General features: G+C 43.4%; 4 annotated features.

The window, feature by feature from the left end:
• Window positions 487-1,225: an enhancer, noted in NCBI's record as "NANOG hESC enhancer chr4:24728949-24729687 (GRCh37/hg19 assembly coordinates)". NCBI's record gives its function as "activates a minimal SCP1, AML or CMV promoter by ChIP-STARR-seq in naive H9 embryonic stem cells {active_cell/tissue: H9 hESC(naive)}" and the evidence as "EXISTENCE:reporter gene assay evidence [ECO:0000049][PMID:30033119]".
• Window positions 3,458-3,958: an enhancer, noted in NCBI's record as "H3K4me1 hESC enhancer chr4:24731920-24732420 (GRCh37/hg19 assembly coordinates)". NCBI's record gives its function as "activates a minimal SCP1, AML or CMV promoter by ChIP-STARR-seq in naive and primed H9 embryonic stem cells {active_cell/tissue: H9 hESC(naive and primed)}" and the evidence as "EXISTENCE:reporter gene assay evidence [ECO:0000049][PMID:30033119]".
• Window positions 16,985-17,517: an enhancer, noted in NCBI's record as "OCT4-NANOG hESC enhancer chr4:24745447-24745979 (GRCh37/hg19 assembly coordinates)". NCBI's record gives its function as "activates a minimal SCP1, AML or CMV promoter by ChIP-STARR-seq in naive H9 embryonic stem cells {active_cell/tissue: H9 hESC(naive)}" and the evidence as "EXISTENCE:reporter gene assay evidence [ECO:0000049][PMID:30033119]".
• Window positions 20,709-21,254: an enhancer, noted in NCBI's record as "NANOG hESC enhancer chr4:24749171-24749716 (GRCh37/hg19 assembly coordinates)". NCBI's record gives its function as "activates a minimal SCP1, AML or CMV promoter by ChIP-STARR-seq in naive H9 embryonic stem cells {active_cell/tissue: H9 hESC(naive)}" and the evidence as "EXISTENCE:reporter gene assay evidence [ECO:0000049][PMID:30033119]".

Genomic DNA, 22,742 nt, shown 5'->3' on the forward strand with positions numbered 1-22,742 from the left:
TTCAGTCTATGAAATGTGAGTGCAAGTAACGTGTATCACGTCCAGGCAGAAACTTTGAGAGCTAGTGTATTGTTTGCTATACTCCTTTTCTCTTCCTCTGATCTTGGAGTCATGAGTCCAGATGGAGCTTTTGCCAGCCTGGGTTTCTGAGTGGCTAAGGTGGGTATAGCTCGCTTGTCAACCCATGATGGATGGTCGTGAGGTGTGGTGAGAAATGAACTTGGTTGTTTTCAGCTGCTGAGGTTTTCAGATTGTTATTGTAGCACAACCTAGCCTATTCCGATGAATCCAGAGCTCACTTCCATCTTTTCTGCTTTATTGATTCATATCTTTAGCCCCAAACACAGGTAACTTGGAGCCTGGGAATGGAAGGAATTGCATTTACAGAACACTTTCCAAGTGCCAGGCTAGTGGTGGCAGTCATTCTCGGGCCATTTTTTTCTTTTTAAGAGACAGGGTCTCGCTATGTTGCCCAGGCTTGACTTGTACCTCTGCATCCAGTTCCAAGTCATTTTATTTCAACCTCTTTACAGTCAAAGAGATAGGCAGGGACTCCTAGCTTCAGTGTAGGGCTGAGGAAACTGAGGCCCGGGAAAGGTTAAACACCTGCTGCAGGGCCGTTTGGTTTCTGCTCCCAAGCTTTCACTCTTTCCACTACAGCAACTGCCTGCCACTGAAATGCATGCTAAGGTCATTCTGAGAGCGGGTGTTTGAATCTTAAAAAAACAATAACCTTTACTAATGACCTGGTAATTGTTTTTATTGCTTCCCAAAGAAGTGTGAAGTGGTCTGAGAGACGACACAAGACAATTTCCTTTGATGGTGAAGTTTTCCAAAGAACAATTGCCTCACTCTTCTGATCTGTTGGTGCCTTGGCTTTGCTGTGATATTATACTGATGCTGAGCGCAAGCCTGGGAACTTTGAAAAAGCTGCCGAGGTTGGAAAGAATGTTGGGCTCAGCCATGCCTTTATTTAAAATCATTAATCCTGTCTTACTTTTATAAAAATGGTCACATAATAATATATGAACCAATGATAAATAGTGACATCTATCAAATTCTTATGCTATCCCATGACTGGGCTCTCAGCACTTAAAGTCGCCACCCTCTTCATCCAGACCCCGGCAAGCTGCCTGTTGCAAGGCGAGGGCTCCATAAATATCTCTGTAATGAATGAATTATCCTACAACAAACATTTGCTGGACCTGCTGCTTTGAGCCCTGCTCAAAGGCAATGAAATGTTTTCTATGTGAAAATTTATTGAGAGGAGAGGAAAAAGGCTAGTGTTCAGACAACTTGGTCATCTAATTCACATCCAAAAGCCATTCTAAATCCCAAGAACGGCGTTTGGATGTGAATTAGATGTGATTAACGAGAAGGCGAGGAAATTAATTCTAACTGAAAACATTAATGATTTTGTTAGCTAACATATTAGAGTTAGGTCAAACTTATGACATTTTAGAGTTGCCTTTTATTGGCTTTAGTACAAATAATCGGACTCAGTCTGTCCAGAGCACTACATTTCGCGTAGGAAAATGTCTTATGTTAAGACATTTAAAAGTTTATTTACAAAGCCCTTCCCAAGAGTTGCTTAATTTTATTCTTACCTTTCCCCTGTGAAGGCAGGGCGGATATGTTCAGTATGAGTTGCAGCTGCGGAAGTTTAGAGATTCTCAGGAACCTACCTAAAACCACACACTAACCCAAAGGCAGAGGGGTCTGGAACCTGGGACGCCAGCTGTGATTTCTGGTAGGTTCCAAGGGGGCTAAGCAGGTGATTGTTGTACCTTTTGTGTTGTTGTTGCTGTTCCTTTTAAGATAGCATGTTGTAAATCTAAGATTTATTCGTTTTGTTTCATTTTGTTTTTTGAGACAGAGTCTTGCTCTGTCGCCCAGTCTGGAGTGCAGTGGTGTGATCTTGGCTCACTGCAGCCTCCACCTCCCAGGTTCAACCAATTGTCCTGCCTCGCCCTCCCAAGTAGCTGGGATTACAGGTGCCTGCCACCATGCCTGGCTAATTTTTGTATTTTTAATAGAGTCGGTGTTTCACCATTTTGGTCAGGCTGGTCTCGAACTCCTGACCTCAAGTGATCCACTCACCTCGGCCTCCCAAAGTGCTGGGATTACAGGCATGAGCCACCACGCCTGGCTTATTCAATGTTTACTGCATAGTTGGGTTAGGTTTTCCCTGAAAACCTGTATAAGATGAAAACCTGAAATAAGATGACATACCTGTGATGGTGAATTTTATGTGTCAACTTGGCTAGGCTATGGTGCCCAGCTGCTTCATCAAACACCAGTCTAGATGTGGCTGGGAAGATATTTTTTTTTAGCTGTGATTAACATTTAAATCAGTAGACTCTGAGTAAAGCAGATGATGCTTCATAGCGGGGGTGGGCCTCATCCAATCAGTTGAAGGCCTTAAGAAAAAAGACTGAGATCCTCCAAAGAAGAAGGAATTCTGCCTCCACACTGCCTTTGCACTGAAGACTGCAACATCAATTCCTGGCAGAATTTCCAGCCTGCTGGCCAGCCTTACATATCTCAGACTTGCCAGCCCTCATAATCGTGTGAGCCAATTCCTTAAAAATAAATCTCTTTCTATGTTTAAGTCTGTATCTCTATCGTGTATAATAGGATATATGCACACACTCTATTTGTTCGGTTTCTCTGGAGACCTCTGACTAATATAATACCTTATGCCTTTCTGGTAGATGAATAAGATGATGATAATGACAATGACGGTGCCCATTTTTTAGTCCCTACTATATGCCAGATGCTTTTCTTGAGCTATCACAAATGAAGAAATCAAAGTGAGTTGAAATAACTCACCCAAAGTCAGAGAGCTAGAAAGCGACAGAGAATGGAGCCAGCTTTCTGGTCCTAATCACTAGAACAAATATTTCTAAGATTTCTCTGGCAATCCGTTTTCTAAGCAGTCTAAAGATGCATTATGGCAAAAATTAGGCAGCCAACTATGTTTTCCAGATGTGGTATCTTATTCTTTGAAAAACGATAGTCCACTGGGCAAGTCATATTTGTGTAAATGTAGTATAATATTTGGAATTAAAAGAAAGAGGAAATCTATTTACTTCCTTTCCAAATTCATTACCACAGCAACTCCAATACCTGTCACCTGGAACTCAAAAACCAAGTTCCATCTGGATGACAGAAGACAAAAGACTATTCCTGCCTTTTTCCGTTGGTTTTGGGTTTGGAGATGTTTGGGTTTTGCACGGGGGAGAGTGATGATAAATGATCCTGAAGCCCGAGCTTTCTCTTTGCATGCAGCCTGGCCCTCAGGAGCATAAGCTAATGTTCCAGAGAGATGAAAAAGAGATAGAGTTTGAGGGCGGCTGCCACCTGTCCCCGTGTAGTACGTGCAATACAGGTGCCATTTATTTCACCTGTCACACGTACACAAATATGTAAACCTCAGGAAAATCAGCTTTCCATCTTTCTCTGAGAAACTTGGTGTGAGCTTTGGAAATTAAAAAAAAAAAAGGTGGGGAGCATCCTTCACATGCTCTTATTTTTAGCTCCTCTCTCCTTTGCAGAATGGCTAACGCCAACTCAAACTATTTCTGCAAAGAGTTGCTGGGGACAAAGTGGAGATGTGGGTAGGCCTCCTTGAGCCAGGCTCTCAGAAGCAGGTGAGATGCAAGATAAAGCAATCGCTTTTCAACCACCTTTGACGTAAGTGCTGGAGATTTCTTCAATTAGCTTAATCCTTTCCTCCTGACATACACTTTACAGGAAAGCAAATGCCATAATTATCCTCCCCCATCCTCTCTAATCCCTGTCTGTGTGGCATGCCGACAGATGCTTTTCTGCTTGCCCGCGCTGCCAGCCTCTTGGAGCCCAGTGCCACAATGAGGCGGGCTGTGTGTGACAGATTGCTAAATCTGGCCTCCTCGAAGCAGGAGACTCGGCGTTCAAGTGGCGCCGGCTGCTCACGCCTCCCTGTGGGGCCGAGGCAGGCCTGGCTTTGGGCAGGCCCAGAAAGTTCTGGAGGGCTGCCTTGTGACTCAGACAATCCCTTGCAGAGATGGCCAGCCCTCCAACACTGACACAGCCCATCACGGGTAGCTTGCTTCGTTTAGGATTTCAATCTGGGACCCTGCCAGGAAAGGCCTTTTTCCACCAGGGAAGAGTGTCCAGCACCCAAATACCATGGCAAGCATGGGGTGTCTGTCACTTGATAGCAACAAGAAAGTTACCTGATCTTATCCCACTGACTAAATGCAACAGCGGCCCATCTGTTGGCAGCCATGTACTCATCTATATATATCTGTTATTTACATCCTTAACACATTATATATTTTTTTTGAGGTCACTATTTTGGATCCAGGAACTGTTATTAGAATTCAGTCCTACCTCTGACTTCCTATGTAACCCTTGAGTCACAGCCTCTGAGCCTCAGTTTCCTCATCTGTATGTTTGTAACCATTTTCTTTTGCAAGATCTTTGTGAAGATTGAGTAATATCATCAATACAATGCAGCTAGTATATAGTGGGTACTTAACAAATGTGATTTATTAATGAGACTAACTATAGCATAGTAACATTACTGCTATTACTAATAATGTATACTTTGCTAGTGCTTTAGTTCATTCTAGTTTTCAAAATAATTTCATATAACATTTCTTTATCTTCTGCAGAGGCAGATATCATATCCCATTTTATTTTTCAGATAAGGTTTGAGATGCTGGAGATCATAGAGATCAGGGGTTTGCATACTATGGCCAGTGGACCAAATCCGACCCACTGTCTGTTTGTGTAAATAAAGTTTTATTGAAACACAACCATGTCCATTCAGTTCTGCATTGTCTGTGGCCACCTTTGCACTGCAAAGGCAGAGTTGAGAAGCATAGGCTTGCAAAACTTAACGTATTTCCTATCTGACTCTTTACAGAAAATGTTTGCTGACCTCTGACATAGATGATAAGTGGTGGAACCAGGAGTGAAATAATGCACCTGTCTATGGATGCCTCAATCTAGGGTTATATCAGGAACATGCCTTCTCTAAATGAAAAAAGCAATGGTGGCAGCAGACAGCAAAATAATTCTGAAATTGTTTTTGTATGTTTTTAATCTACCTAAAATATATTTCTGCATCTCTTAATATAGTGTGCACAGCAGTGTCCCACATCCAGAGCTTAAGGTAGTTCAGAACTTGGGCCCCCAGGCAATGCCCTGAACTAGAGTCCACACATCAAGCTCCTGGCAGAGCCAGGGTGGGAACTGCAGCTTCTGATTCTGGAATAATTTCTCATGAAGGCTTGTTTCTCATCATTATCTCCATACAAATATTTCTTGTTACTTATTCTATGTTCTTCTCGCTCACATTTTCCCCTCTTCCTGAACTCAACTAAGTCTAAGGGCTCTTAGAAGCATCCCAAAGTGTTGCCAAGTGGCCTGGGGTTGCTCTCAGAGGTTCAGAGGTACAAATCCTACAGGCAGAAACACAGCTCTTTTGGCCCTTTCCTGCTTTCTCCCCTCCCCCAATATACCGTATTTCCCAGAAGTCTACTGCGTGCCAAGCCCAATCCTGGATGCTGGGGAGACATCTGCGGAGGACAAGACATGATAAGAAGCACACAGTCTAGTGGGGAAAAGTGGGCCCAGAAAGTAAAGGAGTCACGATAAAATAGGATCAATTATTTGCTAAGGGCATGCAAATTGTTCAGTGGGTCTGGAATGAGAATTTGAAAGAAAACTGTGAGACATGGTTGAAGTTGGAGAAGTACAGAAGGGGAAAGCTCCCTCGGGGCCTTATATCAATGCTAAGGGGTTTGCATTATTTCCTGAAAGGACTAGGGAGTCCTTGAGGATTCAAGACAGGGAGCAACCTCAGCCTGTCCTCACATCTGCAGGGCCTACAGCCTGCTGCCTGCTTCTTGTCTCTTCCCTCCCCAGATTCTCCCGACTTGGGCAGGTGTGTGTTTCCACCATCCTATGTCCAGTCTCCCTCCACATCCCACTCCCAGGGAAACTGCTACCCCTTGACCACACTTCAAGGCCTGGTAGTGTGGACACTAGCAGTGGCTCCACCTTCAGGGGAGGAGTCCTGTGCAGGCCCAGAATTGGCTCAGGGCTGGAATATCAGTAATGCAGGGTCCTGGGTGTCTGCATTCTAATCTGGAACCGTCTGCAGGTGGAGGACCAGATAGGGCTTTGTTGGGAACGTTCCTTTAGCCTGCAGACTCCTTGTTCCATAGGGAGGGGTGCAGCTGAGACCCAAGAGCTCTGAGAGCCAGAGCTGGGCCCTCTATAGTACAGAATCCAGGAATGAAGCCCAAGGCAAAAGATTGTGCCGCTTGCCTCATCAGATCCCTTGAGGCAGGGCCAGTTAAAAGGCGGCTAACGTATTTTATGGGATATCAATGGTGATCTGAAATGGGCAGGAAACAGCGTTGAAAGGAAGAAGACCAATTTGAGAACAATTCAGGGAAAGAAATGGACAGGTGCAGCCGGGCGCAGTGACTCATGCCTGTGGTCCCAGCACTTTGGGAGGCCGAGGTGGGTGGATCACGAGGTCAGGAGTTCAAGACGAGCCTGGCCAAGATGGTGAAATCCCGTCTCTACTAAAAATACAAAAAATTAGCCGGGCGTGGTCGTGGGCACCTGTAATCCCAGCTACTCTGGAGGCTGAGGCAGAGAATTGCTTGAAGCCAGGAGGTAGAGGTTGCAGTGAGCCGAGATTGTGCCACTGCACTCCAGCCTGGGCAACAGAGCTGGACTCTGCTTCAAAAAAAAAAAAAAAAAAAGAAAGAAATGAACAGGTGCAACCCTCCTGGCTGGTGCAGTGGTCTTGCCCCTGTCGTCTGACAACGTTCCATATTGTAGCTGAAGGGGCTGCTGTGTGCAGGCCCAGGGCAGCCTCCAAACACAGAGGATGACAAAGGGGAAATGCAGGGTTCTAACTAAAATGTGTACCTCTGTGTGGAAGTGAGCTCTGAAGGGTGAGTGTGAGTCAACCAGTGAAAGAGGGTGAGATGGCAGGTGAAGGAGAGAGGAGAGTGGCGGGGAAAAGCATTCCAAACAGAAGACTGTCAGGAGGTGAAGACACTGAAATGTCTGCAAATATTCTCTACGGCAGGGGTGAAAGAGGGAGGTGGCAAGTGGCAAAGGTAGGTTCGACCCAGACTGTCTGTGGCATTAGTGCACAGCTGTGTGCGTGTGTGTGTATGTGTGGTGTGTGCACATGTGCACACTTAGGTGGGGAGGAAAGGCACATAGGAGATACATCTCCAAGCAATGCATTTAAAAAGGTTGCACATCTCCCCAGCCAGTCAGAGGACTGTCGGCCTCAATGCTCACTTCCTCTCTTTTGCATGGATGTGTAAAAGTGCAGAAAGAATTCAATCTCAAAGAGATGAAGAGAACATCACAATAACAACAACACACGCATGCCCAAAGCAAAATGAGCAAGAGCTTCAAACAGCTCTTCATCCCACACAGATGAAAGTAATTCGATATTTGACACAACTAAGTATCTAAAATGCAGGCAAGAGTGACATGACTTAGATGCCAATCACGCTGCTTTTAACGAGTTCTTCCATTGTGTTTATGTCTGAGGCCACAGTAGCCCCAGAGGACTCCTGGGTCAGTTATCTATATTTGGAACATTGTGTGTACTCTCTTTGCACAAAGCAGGGCCCACTTCCAGGAAGATATTATGTTTTCCCCATCAATAAAGCTTGATTTTTATGGGTGTTTAAAACCATACTAGCAAAACCCATTGGTATTATGGGTAGGTGTTGAACCAGTTGCAGGATGCAAGTCAGCCATCTTCTATCATCCTCGTGAGCTCAAATGCCCTAAAATATTGCCCTTGAGGTTCTTCCCAGAGAGACCAGCCTTGCCAATTTTGCAGTATTGTTGAAATAAGAAAGAATTTCTGGAAGATTGCAAGGCATTTGGAAAGAACCATGCATTTTCTTGAGGGATGCTGGCTGAGTCTATTTTTAGGCTGCCTTATTGAAAGGCCACTTCTACTTCATCTCCTTACTACAAGTCCTCCTGTTTTCTCTTTTAGTATTCATGTGGTTTCTAATATGGGGTGGTGTAAAACTTAAAATTAAGGTCTAATATTATCTGTACCTTGACATCCGGTAATATTGGGAGGGTCTCAAATGCCTAATCACAAGTTCCCATTCCCACTCTAGAGTCCCACAGAGTCCCGTGGCCAAAGGACCCTTCTTGTTAAATGAGCCAGGTGTAGCTCTTGCTTATCCCTGAGTAGCCAGTTTCAGTTCTCTGCTAGTCTGCAGAATTATCTAAACAAGCCAATCTATCCTCTCGTGGGAACCAAGGAGGACCCCACCCTCTTGATACTACACAACCTGCCTTCCACAACCTCTTATGGTTCACTCTGCTCTCAATTGCACCCCCCCGTGTGGCCCTGCATGGTGCAGCAATTCTTCTCTTTGGGTGTGAGTATATGTCACTAGTAAACTGCTGCTGATCTCAGCTGTCCAGTGTTAGGCGTCTCATGTTCAGCTATTCCTATAGCCCTAGGGAGAGAATCTCCTTGTCATCAATGGGCTAAATAGAAGGTGGTTAAAATAATGGGAGGTAGACAAACCCTGGCTTCAAACCCCTGTCCTTCCCAGGTTTTAGCTGTGTGACCTGGGAAATTGTTTAACTTCTCTCAGCTTGAGTTCCCTCAACTGTAGAGCAGCATTTGCTTTATGAGTTTTTTGGGAAAATTAAATGGGATCATTTACTCAGTTAATCTTTTTTTGTTTGTTTGTTTGAGATGGAGTTTTGCTCTTGTTGCCCAGGCTGGAGTACAGTGGTGTGATCTCAGTTCATTGCAACCTCCGCCTCCTGGGTTCAAGAGATTCTCCTGCCTCAGCCTCCTGAGTAGCTGGGATTACAGGCACACACCACCATACCCAGCTAATTTTTGTATTTTTAGTAGAGATGGGGTTTCACTATGTTGGCTAGGCTGGTTTCGAACTCCTTACCTCAAGTGATCTGCCCACCTCAGCCTCCCAAAGTTCTAGGATTACAGGCATGAGCCACCAAGCCTGGCCTTACTCAGTAAATCTTTACTGAGGCCTTCCTAGGTGCCAGGAACAGGGACTGTAGCAAAAACTGCATGCTGGGTTTTTGTCCACAAAGAACTAATATTCTAATGGAGGGCATAAACAACACACATTTAAAAATTAACGAGAGGGTTACAAACAGGTGCAGTGCTATGAAGAAAAAAATGCATCAAATAACAAGAATGGAATTGCTCATGCTGGGTGGAGGATGGGGGGCAATTTTAGATACGGATAGCATGGAGGGCTCTCTGGATGGTAACGTTAGAGCTGAGACCTGAATGATGAAGAGTCAGCCATTAGAAGATTTTGGAAACAGCTATTGTAGGCTGAAGGAACAGCAAATGCAAATGCCTCCAGTAGGAGGCAGCAGGGCCTGTTGGAGCAAGGCGAGAGAAGTCAGCGTGACAAGTACACGTGAAGAGTGATATGGTTTGGCTCTGTGTCAAACCCAAATCTAATGTTGAATTGTAATCCCCAGTGTTGGGGGAGGGACCTTGTGGGAGGTGATTGGATCATGGGGCAGATTACCCTCTTGCTGTTCTTGAGATAGTGAGTTCTCATGAGATCTGGTTGTTTAAAAGTGTGTGGCGCCTGTAATCCCAGCACTTTGGGAGGCCCAAATGGGCAGATCACGAGGTCAGGAGATCGAGACCACCCTGGCTAACATGGTGAAACCCCGTCTCCACTAAAAATACAAAAAAATTAGCCAGACATGGTGGCAGACGCCTGTAGTCCCAGCTGCTCAGGAGGCTGCTGAGGCAGAAGAATGGTGTGAACCTAGGAGGCAGAGGTTGCAGTGCGCAGAGATAGCACCACTGCACTCCAACCTGGGTGACAGAGTGAGACTGCATCTCAAAAAAAAAAAAAGTGTGTGGCACTTCCCTCTTCACTTTCTCTTCCTCCTGCTCCAGCCATGTAGGACATGCTGGCTTCCCCTTCACCATCTTCCATGATTGTAAGTTTCCTGAGGCCTCCGTAGCCATGCCTTCTGTATGGCCTGTGGAACTGTGAGTCAATTAAACCTCTTTTATCTATACGTTACCCAGTTTCAGGTACTTCTTTATAGCAGTGCAAGAATGGACTAATACAGAAAATTGGTACCACAGAAGTGGGGTATTGCTATAAAGATATGTGAAAATGTGGAAGTGATGTTGGAACTGGGTAATGGGCAGAGGTTGGAATAGTTTGGAAGGCTCAAAAGAAGATAGGAAGATGAGGGAATGTTTTGAACTTCCTAGACTTGTTGAATGGTTGTGACCAAAATGCTGATGGTGATAAGGACAGGGAAGTCCAGGCTGAGGTGGTCTCAGGTGGAGACAAGAAACTTATCGAGAAGTGGAGTAAAGTTCACTCTTGCTATGCATTAGCAAAGAGACTGGCGGCATTGTGACCCTGCTCTAGAGGTCTGTGGAACTTTGAAGTTGAGGGAGATGATTTAGGGTATCTCGCAGAAAAAATTACTAAGCAGCAAAGCATTCAAGATGTGGTCTGGCTGCTTCTAAAAGCCTATGCTCATTTGCATAAACAAAGAAATGACCTGAAACCAGAACTTGTATTTAAAAAGGAAGCAGAACGTAAAAGTTTGGAAAATTCGCAGCCCAACCATGTGGTAGAAAAGAAAAACCCACTTTCTAGGGAGGAATTTAAGGCTGTAGAAATTTGCATAAGTAAAAAAGAGCTGAATGTTAATAGCCAAGAAAATGGGGAAAATGCCTCCAGGGCATTTCAGAGACCTTTGTGGCAGCCCCTCCTTTCACAGGCCTGGAGACCTAGGAGTAAAAAGTGGTTTAGTGGGCCAGGGCCAGGGACTCATGGCTCTGTATACTCTCAGGACATGGTGCTCTGCATCCCACCTGCTCCAGCTCCAGTCATGGCTGGAAGGGGCCAAGGTACAGCTTGGGCTGTTGTTTCAGAGGGCACAAGCCCCAAGGCTTGGTGGCTTCCATGTGGTGTTGGACCTGCAGGTGCACAGAAGGCAAGAGTTGAGATTTGAGAGCCTCCACCTAGATTTCGGAGGATATATGGAAATGCCTGGATGTCCAGGCAGAAGTCTGCTGTAGAGATAGAGCCCTCATGGAGAATCTCTACTCAGGCAGGCATAGGGGAAATGTGGGGTTGGAGCCCCTGCCCAGAGTCCTCACTAGGGTATTGCCTAGTGATGCTGTGAAAAGACGGCCACATTTTGAAATGTCAGAAGGACATGAGATTTGGGAGAGGCTGGGGTGGAATGACTGGAATGATACGGTTTGACTCTGTGCCCCTACCCAAATCACATGGTGAATTGTAATCCCCAGTGTTGAGGGAGGGACCTAGTGGAAGGTGATTGGATCATGGGGGTGGATTTCCCCCTTTCTATTCTCACAATAGTAAGTGAGTTCTCATGAGATCTCATTGTTTAAAAGTGTGTAGCGCTTCCCCCTTTGCTCTCTCTCTCCTGCTGCCATGTGAGGATGTCCTTGCTTCCCATTCACCCTTCTGCCATGATTGTAAGTTTCCTGAGGCCTCCCAGCCATGCTTCCTGTACAGCCTGTGGGACTGTGAGTCAATTAAATCTCTTTTCTTCATAAATTATCTAGTCTCGGGTTATTATTTATAGTAGTGTGAGTATGGACTAATACAAGGAGTATGGCTCATAGGGCCCAGTGTGTGCCTTCCTGAGGAAGCCATCCAAAGTCAAAGCCCTCCCACTGCAACTACTGCAGTGCATTGCTGGAAAATACAAGCTCTGTAATTCTGAAGCAGAAGGGATGCAAAGGGGTGAGCTGGAAGGAAGGCATGATGATTTCTTGGCTGAACCAGTGTCTAAACCAGTGAAAGGTCTGACTGGAGAGCATTTTTAAAGAAATGCTGCTTTTCCAGAGATTAGAACATAAAGACAGCTAGATCAAATTTTGGCAAACAGAGATCCTGTTGGGAACTGTTGCTGTGACTAATTAATAATCCCACTTGAAACTACTACCTCACCTGATGGAAATACCATGCTTCTTCTTCTTCTTTTTTTTTTTTGAGATGGAGTTTTGCTCTTGTTGCCCAGGCTGGAGTGAAGTGGCGCAATCTCAGCTCACTGCAACCTCCGCCTCCTGGGTTCAAGTGGTTCTCCTGCTTCAGCCTCCCAAGTAGATGGGATCAAAGGCATGTGCCACCATGCCTGGCTAATTTTGTATTTTTAATAGAGACAGGGTTTCTCCATGTTGGTTGGGCTGGTCTCGAATTCCTGACCTCAGGTGATCCACCTGCCTCAGCCTCCCAAAGTGCTGGGATTACAGGTGTGAGCCACTGTGCCTGGCCTGAAATGCCATGCCTCTAATAGTTATTTTTAAAGTTCTATAAGAGTTCAATTTCTTCAGTTGGGCATCATATCTCCCTGGATTTGCACCCAATCTCCATTACTTTCTAGGTACACAGAGCTTGAACCAAGTTCTTAAGAGTATAAGCCTCAGTTTTCTCCTCTATAAAATGGGGATGATGATGATGATGATTATATTAGCAGTACCTATCTTAGAGGGCTTTTGGAAAGATTAATTGAGACAATCCCTGAAAAACTCTAGCATACTACGTGTGACTCTGATAAGAGTCCCCAGTGTTAATAAATATTTTCTAAAATATTGTTTACTATTAATTACTTGTTTTTTCAATACCCCAATTAAAGTTACAAATGGCTTTGGTTTGACTTGATATTCTGAATTATTGTGCTGTTACTAAACGAGCATTTCCATTGTCCATCTGCTCAGTGTTCCTTGATGTTAAGTGGATTTATGCAGATTGTTTTGTGGATGCCATCTTTTAAACTTTCTTTACACTAAAACAATACAGCATTTGTTTTAAAATTAATACAGGTCTGCTGTAGAAATTGTAGAAAATACAGACACATATTCAGAAGATAATAAAAATCATTCATAATTTCACCCAGATCTGTCACTAATGTTTTTCCTTTTAGGCTTTTCTCTATGAATTTTAAAACATAGTTTATATTTTATATGTATTATTTTTATTCTCATGTAAAAGTTGACATATTATAAACATGTGCATCTTATTTAAAAATTCCATAAACATTTTAAATGGCTACATAATAGTCTATTATTTGGATTTATCAGAATTGTCTTAATAGTTTTCTTACTTCTGGCTATTTGGGTTATCTTTTATGATACAATTTTCTATTATGTTATCTATTATGAATAGTGCTGGGATAGCATATGTGGACATCTAACGCCCAGCTCCACAGACATGGGTCTTTAATCAAAGATAATAATTTCTTTGATGACTTTCACAGTAAAGAACATTGATACCTTATATGGGGAAGAAAATACTTCAAGTGATACAGGACAGGGGTTGGAAAACTATAGCCTGTAAGCCAAATCCAGCCAGCAGGTTTTTGTAAATAAAGTTTTACTGAAACAGCTAAGTTCATTTGCTCCCACATTGTCTGTGACTGCTTTCATGCTGCAAGGGCAGAATTAAGCAGCCTGGGTTTGTAAACCCTAAGATACTTATGGTCCGGCCCTTTACAAAAAACAGTTTGTGATTTCCTGATACAGACTGTGAGAGAACTCAGTAATCTTATCCAAAATCCAAGAATCCTAAATCATACATTTTTACTAATATTTTTAAAAGTCTGTCTTTAATTTTTATATTAAAAACAAATACAGAAAAAATTAACATTTAATAAAAAACTAAAATAAAATAAACCTCCAAATGCAGACATCATGGGTGTGCCCAGTTCCACTCTCCATCCCTCCTGCTCTACATCTTAAAATTTTAGCCTGGACCAGGCAATGATTGATAGAATAGAACAGCAACTCAGGGGAAGACTTGGGTATGAATGGGAAGTTTGTCATAATAAAGATGGCACCAGAAATCAGTCCATGGGGAAGGAAAGGATTACTCTGCATATGGTATTGGCATATGGTGTGAATCAGGAATTTGACTCAAACCATATACAAAGATGAACTTCAGATTAACTCCTAATTGTGAAAGGTACAGCTATAAAACAGTGTTGTTAATATATATCTTTTTGGTAATCTGAGGAAGCCTATAGACTCCTCAGCATAATATTTTTAAATGCATAAAATAAAATAGGATTATCAAAAGAAACAATTATGTAGAAATTTTAAAACTTGTGAAGTAAAATACATGCTTCTGTATTAAAGCATTGATATGGTTTGGCTCTGTGTCCCCACCCAAATCTCATCTTGAATTGTACTCCCTTAATTCCCACATGTTGTGGGAGGGACCCGATGGGAGAGAATTTGAATCATGGGGGTGGTTTCTCCCATATTGTTCTCATGGTAGTGAATAAGTCTCACGAGATCTGGTGGTTTTATTAGGGGTTTCTGCTTTGCATCCTTCTCATTTTTCTCTCGCCACTGCCATGTAGGAAGTGCCTTTTGCCTCCCGCTATGATTCTGAGGACGCTCAGTCATGGAACTGTAAGTCCAATTAAACCTCTTTTTCTTCCCAGTGTTGGGAAGCATGAAAACGGACTAATATCTGAGAAAATGGACTAATACAAGCATTACTCAGATCTGGCAGCAAATCTAACAGCTAGAGCAATTTTGAAATGTGGCACTAAAAAACAATTTTGAAATATATGCAACAATGGTAATGTAAGCTAAAAATATACTTTTTTTGGAGACAAAATTGAAAGCCTACTACTACCACTGTGGCTTGTTGCCCACATTCATAATCAGAAGAAATATTAAATGTCTATTAGAGGTTACTGAAAATAAAAATGTATTTTTTCCCATCCAAGTTCACTGACATCTTGAATTCCAGGTTAACGCCAATCTAGTTAAAAACTCCTTCAATAAAGCTGATAGAAGTAGAAGAGATTATTTTTGATTCCTTAACGCTAGGGAAGAACTTCTAAGATAGTGGCCCCAAAATGCACAAAGAATTGATGGATTTGTTTCTTTTAAAATTCAGAAATTTTGTTTAATAAGATGACAGACTAGGAGAAAACATTTGCAACCTTCAAAACCAACAAAGGATTCACATCTAGAATAAATGAGGAGTTTCTGCAAATCAACAAGGGAAGAACAAGAAAACCAAGTAAAAATGTATGAATAGACACTTCACAGAAGTGAAAATCTTGTATGTGTAATAACTATGTGATGAGATGTTCACTCACTTGTAATAAATGAGTGGAAAATTAAAACATCAATGAAGTAGATACTGAATACCATCCTATTTTCCATAAATAGAAAGCCTGTCACCAGTGGTTGGGCGTGGTGGCTGTAATTCCAGCACTTTGGAAGGCCGAGGCAGGCAGATTGTCTGAGCTCAGGAAGTTTGAGACTAGCCTGCATAACATGGCAAAACCCCGTTTCTAAGAAAAATACAAAAAATTAGCTGGGCATGGTGGCGTGTGCCTGTAGTCCCAGCTACTTAGAAAACTGAGGTGGAAGTATCGCTTGAGCCTGGGAAGTCGAGACTGCAGTGAGCTAAGATTGTGCCATTGCACTCCAGCCTGGATAACAAAGGGAGACCCTGTCTCAAAAAAGAAAGAAAGAAAGCCTGTTACTACAAAGCATTGGCAACGATGTGGGAAAATGAGAACTCTCATGCACTGTTGATAGGATATCAACTTTTATAACCATTCTGAGAACAATCTGGTGCTATATACTGACACTAAAGAAACACATATATTATGACTCAACCCTCCTATCCTGAGTATATAAACAGGGAACTCTGGCAAACCATCCTTTAATTGAACAAATATGAAAATATTCATCTCAGTGTTGTTAGTGATGGTGGATACCGGAGGCAACTTGTTATAAAATGTGGAAGGTGTGTCCTGGTGGGTGCACAGTATGTAGCAGCTGCAACCATAAGGTCCAAGGAGCTATGTGTGTATTGACAGCAACCCAGATATATCTTTAACTCATACTATTGAGTAAGAAAAAAGGTTAAGAACATCAAGAGATCTTTAGCACAATGCCATTTAATAACATACCCACAGAAAACAACACTACATATTTTGTAAGATATCTGTATCTTGAGAAACTGAATGTACACGTGAACAGTGGTAGGACCATATTTGAAAATAGAACTGGGACTCACGACCTGCAGCAACCTGCCCAGGAAACCAAATCTTTATCTGCAATAGCCAGCCCGGGAAGCCAGCCTGTTGCAAGTCAGACATCTAGAAAGTCAGATGCTATCTCTAGTAACAATTCAAGAAGCTAAACAGTAACTTTTGTAACAATTGATCTCAAATAGCCAGGACTTGATTAACAACTCGCAACTTCCATAATTTTTGTTCCCACTTCCAACTCGAGGCCAATTAGAGAAAGTCAAATATGCACCCCTAACCAATCGCATAAGATGCCCCACTTTTAGTTAGTCTCCTCCAGCTTCTTCAGGCCAACAGCCTCCCATCAGGGCACACCCAAAGCTTTCGCTTTCCCCCATAAATCTTCCTCACTCCTCTGCCTGCCTTTGAGTCTCTGCCAAATGCAAGTGGCGATGGCTGTCTGTTGCTATACAACAAGCTCTGAATAAAGAGCCCTTGCCTGTTCTCATTTGGTAGGTCTTTGTTTATTCCTACAGTCTCCAAAGAGACCTGCAGGGCACACGAGTGCTGCCTTTTGAGGGGTGGGAATGAACTGGATTGGAGAATGGAGCTCAGGGCCTTGCATGGACCTACAGACCATGTGCCGTGAGCTGAGGAAGTGATTTACCAAACTCTTGGAGGTCCACACAAAATACAAAAAAGCATTTTTAAAATTAGTTCGTTTTTGGGCTGGGCATGATGGCTCATGCTTGTAATCCCAGCACTCTGGGAGGCCGAGGCGGGTGGCTCACCCAAAGTTAGGAGTTCGAGACCAGCCTGACCAATATGGTGAAACCCCGTCTCTACTAAATACAAAAAAAAATTAGCCGGGTGTGGTGGTGCATGTCTGTAATCCCAGCTACTTGGGAAGCTGAGGCAGGAGAATCGCTTGAACCTGGGAGGTGGGGTTGCACTTGAGATTGCACCACCGCACTCCAGCCTGGGCAACAAGAGCAAAACTCCATCTCAAAAAAAAAAAAAAAAAATTTGCTGTTTTTATTGCTTTTTGAATGGTATTTTTCTCTTCCGAAATCTCTTCTACTCTTCCTGTCCTTTTTCAAGCTTCCCTCTGCTTGGGGATTAAGTATCCAGATCATTACTCCCCAGGCAGAGGCATTCAGGGAATGAAAGGAAGCCACGCTCCACCTCGCTTCTCTGACCAGCTGGTAGTGAAGATTCCCAGGGCCCACAAAGGTCCCTGCCAAACCTGAGCCTCTCTAAGAAACTCTTAGCAATGGCTCACGCAGGAGTCTTGAGTCCAGATACTCCCCCTCCGGCCTGGTTTTATCTCTATTAGAGCACAGTTTAAGCCAGTGTCCTCCTTTTTAACCACTCAGTGCTGGAGATTAAGGGAAAAAATAGGCCCAGTGATTTCATCTCACTCTTTTTCAGTGAAAATTACTTTTCAGAACTATTAAATCTTCTGTGAAGGTTATAATAGAGGACTTAGGTTCAGTTTAGCCATTTATTAAGATATAAGCTACCAAGCCCCAATAGAAAAAATAAACAACTAGCAGTTTACTTGGATTTATGCACAGTCTGTCTAATCAATCAATCTGTAAACATTATGCAAATGTGTGTAAACCCAAACCTAGCCCAGACTTTACGTATGCATTGTTATGTAAACGATCAATGTTGTTAATGCAAATATTAATATAAACCTGACATTAAACACAAGTTTACACAGCCTTGCTAGTTGAAGTAGGCTTGATTTACATTGAAATATAAATAGCAATAGTGCTCCTTTCGGGGCTTGGGAAAACTGACCCGAGGTCACTGGGAGGCCAGTCTCCACTGCTTCCTCCAATTCACTTCCAACCCCTTCATTCAATGCATCTTATGAAGAATTGGGAGAGAATTTGAACGACAACTCATCAGCCCCTACGGGTGTCTTTGTTTAGTATATCCCAGCTCCCTGTGGTGGGATCTCTCTAGGGTCACCTTTAAAGCCAGATGATCTCATCTCTGCACTAATGATGAAGAGGGGTCACTCACCAGCTTTTGCTGCAACATTGGTTGAAACATTGCAGGTGAGCCATTTTGCCAACAAGATTTGCTATTAAGAAGCCTCCTGGGCAAGTCTCAAGTCACTTTGCCCCAATCTTTTCTGCTGACTGGCTTCTTATCCTTCAAGTCTGTTTTAAATGTCACCTCCTCAGACAGGTCTTCCTTGATCATCTATTCTAAATAGGTTACCTCCTAGATTATTCTGTAGCACAGCACTCTATACATTACGCTCATTCAGCTTTTCTCAATTTGTGATTACATATTTATTTGCTTATGTGTTTGTGTTAACTTTTTCCATCCTCCTCACCTATAGCTTCACAGGAGCAGAGCTACATCTGTTCACCACTTTATACTCAGTGCCAGGTACACGTGATGTGTTTAAAAATATGTTGTTGGTTGGATGGACACACACACCCAGGAATCTTGTGGTTTAGCCGAAAGATCTGCCTGTCTTTTCATAGGCAGCCTCAGGAACTTGCTCAGCTGTGTCTTTCCATTAGGACGTGGGACCTTCCCTGAATATACTGATAATCTGCATGGCTTTCCTCAGTGCCTTCTGCCAGAGCAGGATTCTGTTCTCTGAGATCCCACCATGGTATAATAATAGTAGTAGGAGAAATAGCTATCATATATTCAATTCTGTCTCAGTCTCTTGGGGTTGCTACAACAGAATACCATTGACTAGGTGGCTTATAAACACCAGAAATTGTTCTCACATTTCTGGAGGCTGCAAAGTCCAAGATCAAGATGCCAGCAGATTCAGTGTCTGATGAGGGCTGGCTTCCTTTTGAAGGAGGTTCATAGGTGGCTGTCTTGTCCCTGTGTCCTCCCATGGTGAGAAAAGTGAGGGAGCTCTCTGGGGTCCCTTTTATAAGGGTACTAATATGGTTCGGCTGTGTCCCCATCCAAATCTCATCTTGAATTGTAGCTCCCACAATTCCCACATGTTGTGGGAGGGACAGAGTGGGAGATAACTGAATCATGGGGGGCTGGGTCTTTCCCATGCTATTCTTGTGATAGTGAATAAGTCTCATGGGATCTGATAGCTTTGTAAAGGGGAGTTTCCCTGCACAAGTACTCTTCTCTTGTCTGCCGCTATGTGAGATGTGTCTTTCACCTTCTGCCATGATTGTGAGGCCTCCTAGTCATGTGAAACTGTGAGTCCATTAAACCTCTTTCTTTTGTAAATTGCCCAGTCTTGGTTATGTCTTTATCAGCAGTGTGAAAATGGACTAATACAGGTACTAATCCCATTCAGGGGCTTAGTCACCTTATGACCTTATCATTCCCAGAGGCCCTACATCCTAATACCATCACATTGGGGGTTAAGTTTTGGTATATGAATTTTGGATGGGACACAAATATTCAGTCTGTAGCAAATACTTAGTAGTTTCCAGATGTTATACTGGAGGCTTTACCCTCATCATCTCACTTGAACTTTAACCTTCAAAGCAACCTTTTTTTTTGAGATGAAGTCTCACTCTGTCACCCAGGCTGGAGTGCAGTGGCAGGATCTTGTCTCACTGCAACCTCCACCTCCTGGGTTCAAGCAATTCTCCTGCCTCATCCTCCCTACTAGCTGGGATTACAGCTACTGTTTGTTGAATACATATTCCCTTCTCAACCCCTCCTACTAAGACTAATTGGATTTCTACTTTTTTGGTGTTTTGTGGAGGGGATACTTTCAATGTTGTCTTTGATCTTCATTTGGGTTGGGCTTGGGGGGTGCATTGGGAAGGAGGCCACACAAATAGAATTCCTTCTAGGCACTCTACATCTCCAGGGGATGCCTGCCTAAAACTTGCCTGCTTATGCAGAGGCTCAGGCCTTGCAGAGGGAGCTTAACTCCAATGTGTCAAATCCCAAGACTCCCATAATCATTAATAGCAGCTGCAAGCCCCAAGGGCTCCTTGCAAAAGTAGAAACAGCCACAGAAATGAGAAACTTTCTATTGCCTATAGCAAAAGAAAGCAAACTAAAATGGAGAAGGTGAGACTGACTATTATCCTTACTTTTTTTTTCTTTTTTGAGACGGAATCTTGCTCTTGTTGCCTAGGCTGGAGTGCAATGGCACAATCTCAGTTCACTGCAACCTCTGCCTCCCAGGTTCAAGTGATTCTCCTGCCTCAGCCTCCCAAGTAGCTGGGATTACAGGCACCCACCACCACGCCCGGCTACTGTTTGAATTTTTAGTAGAGATGGGATTTCGCCATGTTGGCCAGGGTGGTCTCGAACTTGTGACCTGGTGATCTGCCTGCCTCAGCCTCCCAAAGTGCTGGGATTACAGACTTGAGCCACCAGGCCCAGCCTTATCTTTACATATTATTAATAATGACAGTTTTTATTTGAACAGCACTTTGGAATTAAAAAAATGCTTTTTCCTGTATTATCTCTTCATTGCTCATCATGCCCTTTGAGGTATTACAGCCAATTTGCAGATGGAGAAACTGCTCACAGACAGGCCACAATAGAAGCTGGAGCCTCATAGAATAAGCTACCAGCATCCCTTCGTGAGAACCCATGTGTTCCCTGGTGTCTCTCCGGGATATCTTAAGGGAAATAAGGGCATAAGAGTGGTCAGCTAGATGAGTGACTAATTCTTCTGACTGTTATAGGTTTACAAACCCTTTTTTAAATTTGTTTTTGTTTGTAGGTTTGTTTTTTGAGAAAGGCGATATCAGCCAGGATGGGATTTTCCCCAAATAATTCTTTAGCAGAGTTTCAGAATCTTTACTTTCCACCTTGACAGTCCCCAGAGACCAACTGAAAGGACCTCACTTAATGTCTCATCCAAAGGGTATTTGCAGTACTGGCTTCATCATTCAAAGCAGGAAAGGCCTTTGTCATGGTCAAATGGCTTTAATGTGTTTTGAATGCTACATAAATTCAAACTTGATGGCTCATTTATTTGTTGGATTGAAGTTTTATACAATAAACTAAGCCTTGGTATTTACTAATAACTTGTGAACTGCCCTTTGTTTATTTAAAACAGCCAGAAGGCAAAGAAGTTGACCGAGTCCCTCATGGCCAATATGATGTTCAGATCCTGGCATTTCCTGGGACAGTTTATGGATCAGTGGGAAGGGTCATAAGAAGGTTGTTTGTGGAGAAGACAGGGGACACAGTGGGGAAAAGTCGAAGAAGGGGAAACATTGTAGGTGGGTGTTTTATTCCAGACTTATTTTGACGCAGCCCCACCATGGTGGCTTCAACCGCTGAGTTCAGTGAGCTGGGAATTCAGAGCTTTGAGTGACAGGCCAGGCTTGGCCAGTGACTTGTGGCATGACCTTGGGAGATTCATTGCTCCTACTGTGTCTCACTGTCTCACACTGAGAAAGGAAAGCAAGTGTAGAATAAATTCAATTCATCGTTCAAGGTGAGCTTCATTAAACTACTGTCCTTTCAGGAAATCTGTGCTCTTTACCCCTATCCCATCTGCAAACATTTCTCTCTTTCTGAAACTCCAATAGACATTATTTGTCCCCACAGATACTGTGGGTGAGAATACAGGCTTTGGTATCACAGCTGAGTGTGAGTCCCAACTCTGCCACTCATGTAAATTGAACACGGAGGGAATATTTTTGAGCTTCCATTTCCTCACCTGCAAAATGGGAATAACTATAAAGATAACCCGCTATGTTGTTGTGAGAAAGAAATGGCAACGGACGTGTCAGGTCATCCTGCATTTAGAAGGTATTCCTTATAGAGAGGAGCGATGTTAATTATAGGCTTATGTTTTGGGATTTGGAGTAGAGTATAAGTGCCGGAAGAGAAGGGACCCCATGTTTGCAGTTCTTTGCCACACCCAGTGTGTGGAGATGGACTTACTTTCTGTGATAATGGATGTTCACAGCCTGCCTCTCAGGGACGGATGATGTGTCTGCCACTGAGGACTCGCTGAAGGGCAGCAGCATCTTCAGATTCATCTGAAGGGTAAGAATGAGTCATGGGACACAAGTGGGCAAAATCTCCAACATCTCTACATTTCCGTAGCCGGGGAAATATTTCTTCCTGTTAAGATTGGATGACAGGGTCTGCCTTCAGCACCTTCCCATTTCCACACACTTAGAGATTCCAGCAGACTCATTTGCTGGGATGAGTCCTGGCCTTGAGAAAGATACACCAGGAAATGTTTCGCTGGACTGGATCCTCGACTTGAGTTTGTTGGTCTCTGGCCAACTCCTATCTGCTGTGCCTGTATGCTTGGGTCCTGACCTAGGCGTGCTTGGCCGTGAACTCCTCTGCCCTCTGCTGCAGCTGACACTGGCAGGCCTTTCCTCATTCTTCCATGCTGGATTCTTAATTTTGTTCCAGTAGCCACGTCTCCCCTGAGTCGCTTGGATTAATTCAGGTTGGTCTAAGGCAATCATTTTAGCCTCATTCACCAAATTTGGCCAATGAGAATAGAGCTTCTGAGTAAGGCTTCTTAGCTCTAAAAAAAAAAGGGTAAAAGTGATAATAAGAAGAGCTAGTACCCCTGTATCAGTCAGGGTTCTCCAGAGAAATAAAACCAATAAGAGGGGTGTGTGTGTGTGTGTGTGTGTGTGTGTGTGTGTGTGTGTATTAGGGTTCTCTAGAGGAACAGAATTAATGGAATAGATATATAGATATATATAAAGGAGAGTTTA

The sequence above is a fragment of the Homo sapiens genome, chromosome 4 (genome assembly GCF_000001405.40).
Source record: "Homo sapiens chromosome 4, GRCh38.p14 Primary Assembly".
NCBI lineage: Eukaryota > Metazoa > Chordata > Mammalia > Primates > Hominidae > Homo > Homo sapiens.